Source organism: Homo sapiens, chromosome 1 (genome assembly GCF_000001405.40).
Source record: "Homo sapiens chromosome 1, GRCh38.p14 Primary Assembly".
NCBI lineage: Eukaryota > Metazoa > Chordata > Mammalia > Primates > Hominidae > Homo > Homo sapiens.
Window position 1 is genome coordinate 236010637 of NC_000001.11, and position 15193 is coordinate 236025829.

The window sequence follows — 15193 nt, forward strand, 5'->3', positions numbered from 1 at the left end:
CTGTCACAACTACTGAACTCGGCCTTTGTAACACGAAAGCAGCCATAGACTATACATAAGCATGGCTGTGTTCCAATAAAACTTTATTTACAAAAACAGACAGCCAGATTTGGCCCATGGGCCATAGTTTGCTAAGCCCCATTTTAAGCAGAAGAAAATAATTTAGACTAACGATATATGCTACTATACATCAAAATTTAAATCTTAATCTGATATTTTCTCTTTTTTGATAGACAACTACTCTAAAAACTAGTCTTAGTGAGAGTGAAGATAAACAAATATTTTCAAATGCTGTTGTAGGAATGGAGCTGATGCATTCATTTATTTCTTCAACAGCTGTAAATAGCTGTGAGCCCCACCATATACCAAACACTCCACTGGGTACTGGAAACATACAAAAAAAAAAGTGTACCTGCACCACCCTCAATGAGCTCACAGGTCCTCAATGAGCTCACAGGTCCTCAATGTGCTCACAGGCTAGTGAAGGGGATGGTTATTTAAAGTTTTTAACTGCTTAAAAAGCGATGGGATGAAAATGTTTACTTATCTCTAATTGAAAACATTTATAGTGGCATGAATATATCTGACCAACAACAGCAGCAGTAATTAAAAATAAATAACACAACTGGTTAACTCCAGTCTAAGGTGTCAAATATATTCTTTTTTTTTCTTTTTTTTTTTTTTTTGAGGCAGTCCCACTCTGTCACCCAGGATGGACTACAGTGGCTCAATTGCAGCTCACTGCAACCTCTGCCTCCCAGGTTCAAGTGATTCTCATGCCTCAGCCTCCGTAGTAGCTGGGATTACAGGCACAAGCCACTACGCCTGACTAATTTTTGTATTTTTAGTAGAGAGGGGGTTTTGCCATGTTGGCCAGGCTGATCTCGAACTCCTGACCTCAAGTGATCCACCCACCTCGGCCTCCTAAAGTATTGGGATTATAGGCAATGTTCCCACCTGATGTTCTACCATTTCAAAGAATGCTCTACATTGCAGTCCATGCTCTGATCTCCCACCTCAACAACCCTTAGAACTCTCCATGGAGCCTCCTACTTTCCCGCCTCACCTTCTCTCCCAGGGCCATGTGCTCTGGATTCATGGACAGGGCAGGCAATGGGCCATGTGCTCTGGATTCATGGACAGGGCAACGGGCCATGTGCTCTGGATTCATGGACAGGGCAACGGGCCATGTGCTCTGGATTCATGGACAGGGCAATGGGCCATGTGCTCTGCATTCATGGACAGGGCAATGGGCTACCGACTCCAGATGTCCCACCACCTTACCTCCGGGCACGCAACGGAAGCCGTCTCCCTGATAACCAGGTTTGCACTGGCACGTGAAAGAGCCTGGAGTGTTGTAGCAGAAGGCGTCAGGGTGACATCGGCTTGGCTGGCATTCATCTACATCTGTAAAACAGCCACCAGGCCCAGGGACAATGAGATTTCTTCTGGAATTCGTAGTTTACCCAATAATTTAAGCCACTTACTCAAATCTATGGGAACCTGCTTCTGATCTGGGAACAGTAATCCAAAACTCACTAAACATTAACTATCAAGTCACTAACTCCCCAATATCTATCTGTCGTACTTGCAAATGTGTTTCACTTTGGCAGCAATGTTTTCATGAAAAATGTTTTTGGCCAGGCACCGTGGCTCACGCCTGTAATCCTAGCACCTTGGGAGGCCGAGGCAGGCAGATCACCTGAGGTCAGGAGTTCAAGACCAGCCTGGCCAACACGGTGAAACCCTGTTTCTACTAAAAATATAAAAAATTAGCTGGGCATGGTGACACGTGCCTGTAATCCCAGCTATTCTGGAGGCTGAGGCAGGAGAATTGCTTGAACCCGGGAGGTGGAGGTTGCAGTGAGCCAAGATCGTGCCATTGCACTCCAGCTTGGGCAACAAGAGCTAAATGCCATCTCAAAAAAAAAAAAAAAAAAAAAAAGAAAGAAAAGAATGTTTTCATCAACCTTACAACAGGGGAAAAGATAGGATCTATTTGTATTATAAAATTCTCCCTCCTGTCATAAATGAGAGCTTCAAAACTGTCTGAGTGTTTACTGACAGATTATTAACTGCTAGGCAGAAAACCCTCAGTGAAAAGAAAATATTCACATGTTCAGTAATAAAGAGAAAGTATCTCAGAAATTCTATCTTAGTTGGGACTTTTTAGAAATACTCTATGGTATAATATTAAGTAATTGTGCAAACCAAGAAACTCAGGGTACTCTATTGATGGGCTATCTTACCTAAAATTACCTGTAAGAGAACAATGGCAGCCAAGAAGCTCAAGTCTGAAGGATTCTATTGAGTCATTTATACTTTGACTCCGCAGTCATTTATTCAATCAGAGAACTTTGCTTTTTTGAAGGAGAAGGTTAGAACAAGCCAGTTGAATGGCTACATGTTAATACATCTTATTAAATAAAAGGATAGACTTTAATCTCCATGCATGTCCTCCATGTAAAAGGACAGTTTGTCTCTTTGTGAAAGACAGAAAATATCCCTGGTTCCTAGCAGAGAGCAGGTGTCTAATTGTCACCTGAATGAACTAGTCACCTAGAACAAAACAGTCATCAATGAGAATAGCCCCCAAAAGAAAATGCATAGTTCAAACTACTAGAGAGATATAAAAAGCAACACATTTACTCTGTGGAGATGACAGAAGAATTCTTTCTTCTATTTGGGAGTGAGTTGGTGATTGGCACATGACAGGTACCACCTAGGAAACTTTCTCAGGTTACACACAGGGGAAGATCAGAGCAACCACACACCTTGGCAGGCTTGGCCATCCCCAGAAAAGCCTGGCAAGCAGGAACAGGTGTAGGAGGAGCCTCCTGTGTAGATACACTGGGCCCGCTGGGGTATGTCGCAGTTATGAAGGCCAGTTTCACAGTAGTTGATGGGGCGCTGGTCCACGACAGCTTCAGAACAAAAGGTTGATGCACAGTCTTAGGAAGAAAGTCCCCTGAGCAGGCCACATGCCCCTCCCAGCTCTATAAAGAGAGACCATGCCTGGACCCTAGACCTCTAGGCATGTCCACAGCTTCACCTGCACCCCACTCCTCACTGGGCTGGTACTACTGCTTTCACCGTTTCCTCCCACCTGGGTTCTGCCTCTGATGGGTCTTGGCTGACTGACACCGTGGTTTGTCATTCCACCTGGCTTGACCTCAGTTTCACTCTGGGGGTCTGTCTCAGGCCACTCTCCAAACTAGATCCCCATCACAGGTCCCCAGGACCCAACTTTCCCTTCATCTGGATATGGGGGTGGGACATCTGCAGATGCCACACTTCTGATGGCAACTCTGTTGAGACTGCTTGGAGGAAAGGAGCTGAGACTTCCATGTGGTGTCTTCAGCCTTGGCCCACCCTGTACAGGTGGAACATTCACTACAAATGCCCAAGTCAGTCACCCACTTGCCACCAAGGAAGGACAAATAAATGTTTCTAAGGCAGGGAGACAGCTATGGTTGGAAGACTGTGAGCCTTTGGAGTAGGCAGCCTTGGTATATACCAGGTACCATGGGTCAACCACATGGCCTTAGATAAATTGCCTTATGTTCTTCCCCCCACCCCCTCAACTCTCTCTCTCTCTTTCTCTGTCTGTCTGCACTTAAGGTAGGACAAACTGAAATCAATCTTAAGAAGACTCATGGAGGAAAAACATGAGTCCTCCTTCATCTGGGATAATCCAACTACACAAAGCCTGATGGGAGGGAATGATTTGTGTTCTGACATTGTGAGGATGGGACTCTGTCCTGGCTCTGAGTTCTTTTAGAAAATCAGAAGCAAAATGCAATGGTGCCTTAGGAACCCCAGAGTAACTGAACCAGCTGAAAATCACCCTGTAGACCTCAACCTTTGCCTTCCATCTTGAGGCAACAGCACAAGATGGGGCATTATCAGCTAGCCTCTGTGACACTCACCTCCTCCTCAGCCCTCCTTCCATGAGTTCTATCATCAGGACCCTTAAGAGAATCACAGTCCCATCTACTGGCCTCTCTGTGCTTGGCATACTGGAAGTTAACTGCTACAGCTTTTTGCCTAAGCCTGGGCCCTGTTCTTCCCTCAAGAGAAGAGCTGATGCATGCCATCATGCCCTGCACCAAGATGCCTAGGGGAGGAGAAGTAGGACCTCAAGTTCACCACACTCCATATGCCAGCCCAGTGTCACAGGGCTATGTCCATTCAGAGGGGTATCTACATCTTCACATCAAGCTGACTTATGGGCAAGCTGAGGCCCACCTTTCCTTCACAAAAACATGTTTTGCACATTTCAATTAACTGCAAAAGTTGGTTCCCAGTGGAAAAGAGAGTTATGAGTTTACAGAAAATGCCAAAGATGGAAGTCCACAAACATCCCTTCCCCGATAATGGATACCAATCCTCATGAAAAGAGAATTCCTCCTGGTCAGTCCACAGGCCCTGCCTGAGCCCCCAGCCCCTCACAGTTGGCAGAGCACACCTTGCCCCATTTATTTCTTCACCTTGCCCCATTCTGACCTGCAGGGTAACCTTCCCAGTGCAGGCTTCCGACCTAGAACACTGTTTCAACAAGGAATTCCAAGAGAGATGGAATGACCACTCAATTACTCAGTGACAAGCCAGAGTTATTTCTTTGAATGCGTGTAGGCAGACTTGGTTCTACAGTGAGCCTTCTCTCTGCGCAGTGAGTCTCAAAGGAGCCAATTAAAAGGGGTGAAGATGTTCTCCCTCAAATATGTAGGCCGGGCGTGGTGGCTTACACCTGTAATCCCAGCATTTTGGGAGGCCAAGGCAGGCAAATCACCTGAGGCCAGGAGTTCAAGACCAGCCTGGCCAACATGGTGAAACCCCGTCTCTACTAAAAATACAAAACTTAGCTGGGAGTGGTGGTGCATGCCTGTAATTCCAGCTACTTGGGAGACTGAGGCAGGAGAATCTCTTGAACCCAGGAGGCAGAGGTTGCAGTGAGCCAAGATCGCGCCATTGCACTCCAGCCTGGGTGACAATAGCAAAACCCTGTCTCAAAAAAAAAAAAAAAAAAAAGGGAGGCTAGAGCTCAGGGGAGAGGACAAGAGCCTGCCCACAGCTGGCCTGTGTCCTCCTTGACAGCTCCTGAGGCACCTCCAAGAGCTCCATGGGTCACAGGAAACCAATGATCCGGTCTAATCACTTCATTTTACAGACGAGGAACTGAGCCCCAGAGAGGTTGTCTTCCTCAAAAGTAAATGTCTGAAGCAGACATTTGCCCAGCACCTGTCTTGCATCCCAGCCTGCCCCTTCAGTGAGTGTGGACATCAGGAATGACTGGATCCAGAAACCCAGGTCACCATGCTCCACACAGGTGTCCCAGGATGGATCTCAGTTACTGTGCACATCAGCACCCAAGGGATAAAGTATCCACTGCCCAAGCTTGAGCCGAAGTGTAATGTAAATGGTATGGCCATTAAAATTAAACGTTTGAATCTGCTTAGCCTCAAAAAGCAGAGAAAGAAATCAGGTCAAATACACAGAAACTGATGTTCCCTACTGAGGAAAAAAAAAAAAGAAGTAACTTCAGCAGAGTGAAAATCTCAACTGTGCAGAGGGGACTGGCCTCCCTGAGCTCACAGATGTTTGGGTCACACTCAAAATATGAGAACTGCCTGTTCCCTCCCACCCTCAAGACACCACCTCACCCCACGACCTTGGCAGGCTTACCCAAGCTTTGAGACAGAGCAAAAAGAAAACATTCTAGGGTTTAGCGAACAGTGAGGAAGAGGCAAGAAGATGGTTTGCTGACATGGTACAAGAGGAATCTGTTTTAAATTGGGAAGACATGTTGAGTTCAGATGCGCATTTGACATGGCACCCTCCAGACCTGGGAACAAGAATCTTGAACGACCAGGTCAAAGTGCAGCAGGAGGAAAAAGAGGAAGAATTTAAACAATCTGGCTGTTCGTGGCTGACCCATCCTCATCATCACCCAAATCATCATTCAGCAAGAGCATAATTAACCTAATTAATAGCCGCAACTTACTTCTATAAGGCTAAGAAATTATGCTGCTGCTCGTGGTTGGTAAAATTAAAATCCATAAATAGAATGACCCCAGTTGGAATTTTAGGTGTAACTAAAGTAGAATTCAATCTAAGATAGGTAATGATCCAAAAGTACCTATAAGGTGCTCCCTCAATGTGAACCCCAAGGCTACTAATTACTGGAAGAAACATGTCTAATAGCTTATAGTTATTAAAAGCATAATGAAAATGATTAAAAGAAGTTTATAAGAGGCAAATGTAATGCAAAAGCTGGCAACAGGTGAGGCGATGGTATTACTAGTGTAGGCAATAATGTTGCTTACTCATTACACTTGTGACTCTCCAGATAGTTGGAGGGCAGAGGCTAAGTCTGATTCATCTTTATAAATTGCTCTTCCCAGCACCTTCCAACTTGACCAGACTCATTTTACCTGGGACCAGAACTTTTGCATAAGAGCTAATGCACACCATGTGAATACTGTTTCGAAAAGTTACCTGGAGAACTTACCCACACACGTTCCCTCATCTGAAAACTGGTAGCCCTCCACACACTCGCAGCGGAAGGTTCCTGGGTGATTATTGCAGATTGTGTGGCTCCCACACACTGAGGGTTGTTCTGAACATTCATCAATATCTGCAGCAAAAATTTTTTTTTACTGCAGGCTTTTTTTTAAAGCTCTTCAAACATTACTGACTATAATAAAATAGCATTGTCACCTAAGAATAGATCAATTTTAAAACAAAATTTTCTTTTTTTTTTTCCGAGATGGAGTCTTGCTCTGTCGCCCAGAGCTGGAGTGCAATGGTGCAATCTCGGTTCACTGCAACCTCTGCCTCCAGGGTTCAAGTGATTCTCCTGCCTCAGCCTCCCCAGTAGCTGGGATTACACGTGTGTGCCACCACGCCTGGCCAATTTTTGTATTTTTAGTAGAGATGAGGTTTCAGCATGTTGGCCAGGCTGGTCTCAAACTCCTGACCTCGTGATCCACCCGCCTTGGCCTCCCAAAGTGCTGGGATTACAGGCGTGAGCCACCGCCCCTAGCCTAAAATAAATTTTCTATGTATCAAAAGTAGTGTTAAATACAATTTTTGTCTGTGCATAACTGGAGAGAGTGATCCCCATGCCTTTCTCCTAAGGAAACGTGTGCTTCCCCCACCTCTCCTAGAGTTAATTTCTGAGCCTGGGGCCCCTGAACACGAGTCTTTCCCATTAGATTGCCAAATACATGTTACAAGGACACAGAGACACATCTCTGGACTCTGAATACTGAGAGTCTCTGAATATTAAATATACTTTCAAATCCTAAACTTGAGAGTATATTTAAATATGCTATTATTCGAAAATATTACTTTCTCTGTTACTGTTACAAAGGAAAATTGAACAATTTACAGCTTAATTGTGAATTTTTGAATATTATCTAGGGCTTAATGGACTAAAAGGGAAGTCATTCACTCATGAGATTGTAAATGAACAAAGAGAGTGATGTCCTTTTATATGACAATACTACAGCCACCATCATGGGGTAACGTGGAGCAAACAAACATAGGCTTTGGAGTTGGACATAGCTAGGTTCAAATCCTGCTTCCTTTAGCTATTAACTTGTGTGGTCTTGGGCAAGTTATCCAACTACTCAGCCTCAGTTCTCCCTTTGGTAAATAAGTATACTACTACTCATCTTGAGGGTTCTTCTGCAGATTACGGAAAATGGATGGAGGTCAGAGAAGCACCCAACAATGTTCCAGACACCCAGCTATGATTATACTAACTAGAGATTCATCCAACACCCCAGCCATGGTGATGAATTTGGCTAACTCTGGGAACACGCCCCTCAGATGGCCGCCAGGCTTTGGGGGCCAGGCTGTGGCTACCACTTGTGTAAGGCTGGTGGGCCCAGGCAAGAAACTGAGCTAACCTGTCATTCCCCCTGGTTATGTGGCCACTGATGGGTTGAAATGAACAGTTACACAAGGTCCTTCCCACGTCAACCTCATACTCAGAGTGTAGACAGCTACTTCTGGCATTTCTAAAACCCTGAGATGTGCATGAGGAGGGCCTCCCAAAGTGCTGGGATTACAGGCGTGAGCCACAGCCCCTAGCCTAAAACAAATTTAGACATGTTTTAGACCTAAAACAAATAAGACATGTTTCTCATAATGGCCGAGACCACACAGCTCTTCTCCCCCTCATAAATCTCTTCCCCAGCGCTTTCATATGAATCGTTGACATGTGGGAGTCAAAGCCTCCTATGTCCACCTTCAATGTCCAGTCTAGCCAGGCCTTTATTGGTGAGACAAATGTCCTACTGGCCTATTGGTCAACATTGCACAAGACAAGCATTCTTGATCACATCAGCCTCATAGTTTGTCCTGTACCCAGGCAAATACCCAAACCAAATGCTCTTCAACTTTTAGAGATTATACTGATATGTGCGTGTTCTGTGACGTGTTTAAGACACAAGGTCTCAGGACTGAACCAGGCACTGCCAGAAGGTTCTGGAACAAAGCCCCTCCCAAAGCAGGCTGTTATGCAAGCTGGAGCTGGGGAGGCTGTGGGGGAGGAGTGCACCCAGCACGTTTGGACTTCACAGCTCCATCCATCAGCTGCCGCTGCAACATGGGAGAAAAAAGGGGCTTCCTGTGTCCACTGCCTCTGTGCTGCAACTCTCAGAGGACACTCCCAGCACAGATGTCTGGAAACATTGTACATATTGCAGGGCTCAGTGACTTAGACTGCATTGCCAAAGCACGAGAGCACAGAGCAGCAGTTTTCAATCAAGAAGACAGAGCAAAATCACAGGGGATCTTCTTCAAGCTCTGTTCCTCCCTGGGAACATTTACGCAAGGGGAAGCTGTGTTTTGGAAAAGCTTCTATGTGACCAGGCTCTTCTCTCTAGCCCTACCTGAAAAGCTATTGACAAATAGGACCTCAGGGCTGCTGGGATGATGGAGGGAATGGTTCCCTAGCACAACCTCCACCTCCATGCCGGCTTACACATACACGCCAGACTAGACAACACCCTTTCTTAAGGGACAAGACCCTAGCAATTTCTGAGCTAATAGTCCACGGTCTTTGCAGTTTGGAAATTCTTCCTAATGTATAATTTAAATCTTCTCTTCTAGGACCAGGCACGGTGGCTCAGGCCTGTAACCCCAGCACTCTGGGAGGCTGAGGCAGGCAGATCACCTGAGGTTAGGAGTTCGAGACCAGCCTGACCAACATGGTGAAACCCCATCTCTACTAAAAATACAAAAATTAGCCAGGCAGCATGTGCCTGTAATTCCGGCAATCCGGGAGGCTGAGGCAGGAGAATTGCTTGAACCCAGGGGGTGGAGGTTGCAGTGAGCCGAAATTGCGCCATTGTACTCCTGCCTGGGCGACAGAGCAAGACTCTGCCTTAAAAAAAAAAAAAAAAAAAAAACAAAAACAAACTTCTTTTCTATAAATTGAAGCCAGGTCCTTAACCCTTTCTTCAGTGGTATTGAAAACTGGCAATAACTGTCTCTCATAACATACCACAGTATCTGCTAGAAAATGATTATTCTTATTATTTAACATCTGGTCAACCTCTTCTCTGGAAAGAGATTTCCTTTCACAGGATCACTTTCTAACTCAATAGGAAAATCCTGGATCATTCTTGTCATTGCTGCCTCCTTTTTGACTTTTTTCAGAGTGGCTACTTTTCACATATTTTCAACAACTCTAAGTTTCTCCAATTTTTCCCTTTTATAAAGGCCAGGCTCTTAGAGGAGAAGAGTCTCATTACCAATTTGCTAAATGCCTTCTACATACTCGACGATTACTCAATGAGAGATGAGCCAAAACTATCTCTACGGGCTCTAAATTGAGAAACAGCGGGAGCCATCCTGCCATGGACCAGAGTGAATCACAGAGCTCTGTGAAATCGTCTCCAAATTACTGTGGAGAGTCACTGTGCGACGTCTCACCAAAACCACCCTTGTTTGGGGTGTCATATACCATCATATCAGCGCTGCACACACTGAATCACAAAGGCTCATCCTCATTCTCCTCTAACGCACTTCCCAAGTCCAAATAACACATGAAGTGATCTGCTTAATGCAATTTCCTATTTTAAGCCTCATGTCTCGATACATTAACACTTCAAGGCATGTTCTAGTGACCCAGAACAATAAGTGTCCTGACTGGGAATACACTCGCATTCCACGGAGGTAATAAGTCAGAACAACCACTCACCACAGGACAAAAGCAAGTCTACATGCGACCACCTGTCTTTCTGGACAAGGATATCGGAGGATTTTCTAGGATGGTGCAGATTACATAAAGGATGGCTGGTTGTGCCTTCTGAAGTGAAGCACTCCCACTGTGGCAAGCTCAGGCACCAAGGGCAGAATTAGCCACGAGGTCACAGTTCAACAGCAGCAGACTGGGTTACTTCTGCACCTTATTACTATCCAGGAGGCTTACGAAGTTGAAGCAGAGCTGTGTAATGAGGAGGCATGGATCGGTGAAGGAGCCCCATCCCCGCATGCCAGCCGTCTCACAGCCTGGGAGGGCTCCCGTTCACACACACACACACAGCATCATGCTGCTTTGAACTGGCCAGAGCCAATTCAGCCATTCAAGGCTGTCAGGCTCTTTGCAGGAAATACTGGGAAACTGACGATTGCAGGTGAGTAGGCACTATGTCCCCTCCCTAGCGATACGTTACCAGGAAGGTAAGTCCCAGACTGAATTCTACCACATATACAAAGCTATCAGCAAGCTGGCCAAACATACAGCCTGCACTATGCGCACAAGTTCCTGCCCTCCAGTATTTCAGACACCCTGACAGGCACCTTGCATGAAAGGTTCACTATGAAGCCAACACCGCGAGGCCCTGACAGCAGGATCTTCTAACCTTCATGTTACATCAGCACACCAAATCTGCCATTAGCTGCGGCTGCTGGATTCCAGACCTCAGGCATGATTCCCGAATTCTGAGACTGCTGGGCTTGCCAGATTCTTATATCTCTGTCAAGCAGGGGTAGAGGGAGCTGTTCATTTTCCTGGCCAACCATATGTGAACACACTATTCATCCCACCAGGGAAGCTTACTTCTAGCATTCCTTATGCTCATTAGTGAGCCCTCTCACTAATTGCAGACTTAAACAGCACTGCTCGAAGCACTTGGCATTCTTGCCCTTAGTAGTGGACTGACTTCCCCTTGGCAGTAGATTACAATTTAGTAACAAACAAATATCAAGCTGCCTACATGAAAGTATTTGAACTTAAGTTATAAATAATAAAATAACTGCAACTAGAAGATGGAGTAATACGATGCTTGAGTCAGAGACTTGTGTTCAAATACTATATTTGTCACGGCTCACTTTAATGAGCCTCAGTTTTCTTGTCTACAAGAAAAGAGCGTTGCGAGGCCAAGGCAAGTGGATTGCTTGAGCCCAGGAGTTTGAGACCAGCCTGGGCAACATGGAAAAACCCCATCTCTACAAAAAATACAAAATTAGCCAGGCATGGTGGCACACTTGTAGTCCCAGCTATTCAGGAGGCTGAGGTGGGAGGATCACCTGAGCCCAGGAGGTTGAGGCTGGAGTGAGCCAAGATTGTGCCACTGCACTTCAGCCTGGGCAACAGAGTGAGACCCTGTCTCAAAAACAATAAAAATAAAATAAAATAAATAAATAAATAGGAGAATGAAACTCACACCCATTAGGATGGCCCCTATTTTTTTTTTTTTTGGGAGACAGAGTCTCACTCTGTCACCCAGGCTGGAGTGGAGTGGTGTGATCTTGGCTCACTGAAATCTCTACCTCCCAGGCTCAAGCACTTCTCCTGTCTCTCCTACTCCCAAGTAGCTGGGACTACAGACACCTGCCACCATGCTTGGCTAATTTTTGCATTTTAGTAGAGACGGGGTTTCACCATGTTGGCCAGGCTGGTCTCAAACTCCCGACCTCATGATCCATCCACCTCGGCCTCCCAAAGTGCTGGGATTACAGGTGTGAGCCACTGCGCCTGGCCTCCTATTTTAAAAAACACAGAAAACAAGTGTTTTCAAGGAGATGGAGAAATTGAAATGCTTGTGCACTGTAGGTGGGAACATAAAATGTTGCAGCCCCTGTGGAAAACATTGTGGTGGTTCCTCAAAAAATTAAAGATGGAAAGGCCAGGCGTGGCAGCTCACACCTGTAATCCCAGCACTTTGGGAGGCCGAGGCAGGTGGATCACTTGAGGTCAGGAGTTCCAGACCAGCCTGGCCAACATGGTGAAAGCCCTCTTTACTAAAAATACAAAAATTAGCCTGGCATGATGGCAAGCACCTGTAGTCCCAGCTACTAGGAGACAAGTAGGTGAATCACTTGAGCCCAGGAGGCAGAGGCTGCAGTGAGCCAAGATCACGCCACTGCACTCCAGCCTGAGCGACACAGCAAGACGCCATCTCAAAAAAAAAAAAAATTAAAGATAGAATTACCATATGATTCAGCAATCCCACTTTTGAATATATGCCCAAAAGAACGGAAAGCAGGAACTTCAACAGATATTTGCATACCCACGTTCATAACAGCATTATTTGCAATAGCTGGAAGGTGGAAGCAACCCATGCGTCCACTGATGGATGGATAAACAAAATGTGATATGTACATGCAATGCAATATTATCTAACCTTAAAAAGGAAAAAAAATTCTGACACATGTGACAACATAGGTGACACTTGAGTACACTGTGCTATGTGAAATAAGCCAATCACAGAAGAACAAATATGATTCCACATATGCAATCGTTAGAATAATCAAATGCATAGAGACAGAAAGTGGAATGGTGATTGCCAAAGACTGAAGGAAGGGGGAAATGTGAGTTGTTGTTTAATGGGTACAGAGTACGTTTTGCAAGATGGAGAGTTCTGGAGATGAACAGTGGTGATGGTTACACAATAAAATGAATGCATGCAATGCCACTGAACTGTACACTTAAAAAGTGTTAAAATGGTATATTTTATATTATGTATATTTTACCGCAAACAATTTTTTTTTTTTAAAAAGGAACAAAAAATCCATCTTGTTAGAGTTGTTGGAGAATTAAATGAGATGATGTTGTGAAGCACTTAGTTCAAACAGTGCCTGGGTAAATTATAGCTATTGTTATATTACTGGTGTTATCATTAACAGCTCTGACTTACAACTCCTTTTAAACCTGTGCATTCTTAAGACGGAGTGGAGTGTGGCCTTAGGAATTCTACTCTGCTGCTTAATCAGACAAAAGAATGGGCCAGTACTCCCGAGTTTACCCACGGGAACAGTGAATGTGAAGCATAAATAATTCAGGCCTGGCATGTCCACCAGTATTTATCTCATCCGTGCTTCCTTGCTGCACCCAGTTCTCTGGTTTACAGAACGTGGATGCCTCCTCCTCGCCTGATTTCCCAGCCCCAACAAGTCAGAATCAAAGGCTGTACCATAGCAGGTTCGCCCGTCTCCTCGGAAGCCGATGGAGCACTCGCAGGTGAACTGTGTCCTGGGACCAGGGCGACAGGCCGCGTTGGTGTCACACCCATGAGTGCCGATGTAGCAGGGATTCTGAAGAGCATCAGGGGAGCCTTCTGTGAAGACAGAGACATTGGAACCAAGTGAGTCTTCAGGAGCTCTTGCAGGTTTCCTCCTTCCACAGAAAGTCAACCACAACTGGTGAGCAAGAAGGTGATCACAGAAGAGCAGAGTGGAATGGGACACCAGCCAATTCCTGTGTTGCCCTGGGGCAGGACCAGCATGGCCCCCTCCCTGTTCTTGTAAATAAAGTTTTATTAGCAACCAGCAACGTCCATTTATTTATGTATGGTCTATGGCTGCATTTGTGCTACCACGGCAGAGCTGACATGTCGTGATAGAGACTGTATAGCCAGCAAAACCTAAAATACCTACTATCTGGTCCTTCACCAAGAATGCACTGACTCCTGATGCCTGGAGCCACAGTTGCTATAGGAGGGAGAATGCCTGCCTTCTTTCTGCTTCATAAAGTTAAAGTGAGGACAAATTAATTAGCTAGAGCAATGATTTGGATATGGAGGAAGAATCAAAGACAACCGAAAAAAGGGAAAGATTTTAAGGCTCAGACCAGACTCCAATTACACAGGACCCCTGAGGCTTAAAGATATGGACAAATGTGAAGTCTGACACTGGTATGTCACAAAAGCTCCCTAAACCTCAGCTCCTTCCCGACAGCTGGGAACGCCCACAGACCAGACCGCAGCGCCAGTGATGCAGAGTCACAGGGCAAGCGTTTCTTTTAGGCTCCCTCCCTAATTTTATTCAATTTCCTCAGGCACTAACCACACAATTTCTTTTTCTTTTTTTTTTTTTGAGACAGCCCCTCTCTGCTGCCCAGGCTGGAGTGCAGTGATATGATCTTGGCTCACTGCAACCTCCGCCTCCCAGGTTCAAGCGATTTTCCTGCCTCAGCCGCCCCGAGTAGCTGGGATTACAGCCACACACCACCACACCCAGCTAAATTTTGTGTTGTTAGTAGAGACAGGGTTTCTCCATGTTGGCCAGGCTGATCTCAAAGTCCTGGCCTCAGGTGATCCGCCCTCTTTGGCCTCCCAAAGTACTGGGATTACAGGCATGAGCCACCATGCTCGGCCCTACAATTTCTCTTTTTTTTTTTTTTTTGAGACAGAGTCTCACTCTGTCGCCCAGGCTGGAGTGCAGTGGTGCGATCTCGGCTGACTACAACCTCTGCCTCCTGGGTTCAAGCGATTCTCCTGCCTCAGCCTCCCAAGTAGCTGGGATTTCAGGCACGTGCCATCATGCCTGGCTAATTTTTGTATTTTTAGTAGATACAGGGTTTCACCATGTTGGCCAGGCTGGTCTCAAACTCCTGACCTCAAGTGATCCACCCGCCTCAGCCTCCCAAAGTGCTGGGATTACAGGCATGAGCCACTGGACCTGGCCTACAATTTCTTTCAAGGTTGAATATTAAAGGGTTTTAAAAGCCCTGCCAATGCCAGCAGTAGCCTTAAGAGGGTCCACTCTGTAAGGCACCTCAACAGGTTAGCATTCTGCACTTTACTTTAGATAGAATCACGAATAGGCCTTTGGTTAGAAGAACAGACAGGCAGCTTTTCCAAGAATCAAAAATAACAAGACATTCTTTTTTTCCTGCCAGAAGATACTTTAGCATAATTTTCTTCTACAGACTGAGAGTAAGAGACCAAAAACA

General features: G+C 45.6%; 1 protein-coding gene across 1 annotated transcript in view; it reads right to left on the minus strand.

Moving 5' to 3' along the window:
* Window positions 1-15193, minus strand: part of NID1 (nidogen 1) — an 89261-nt gene that overhangs the window by 34807 nt on the left and 39261 nt on the right. Inside the window, exons 9-12 of the mRNA NM_002508.3 lie at window positions 13434-13577; window positions 6512-6637; window positions 2775-2924; window positions 1285-1407 (exon numbers count right to left, since the gene is read on the minus strand). Coding sequence (NP_002499.2) covers window positions 1285-1407; window positions 2775-2924; window positions 6512-6637; window positions 13434-13577 — 543 coding nt within the window. The remainder of the gene's footprint in view (window positions 1-1284; window positions 1408-2774; window positions 2925-6511; window positions 6638-13433; window positions 13578-15193) is intronic.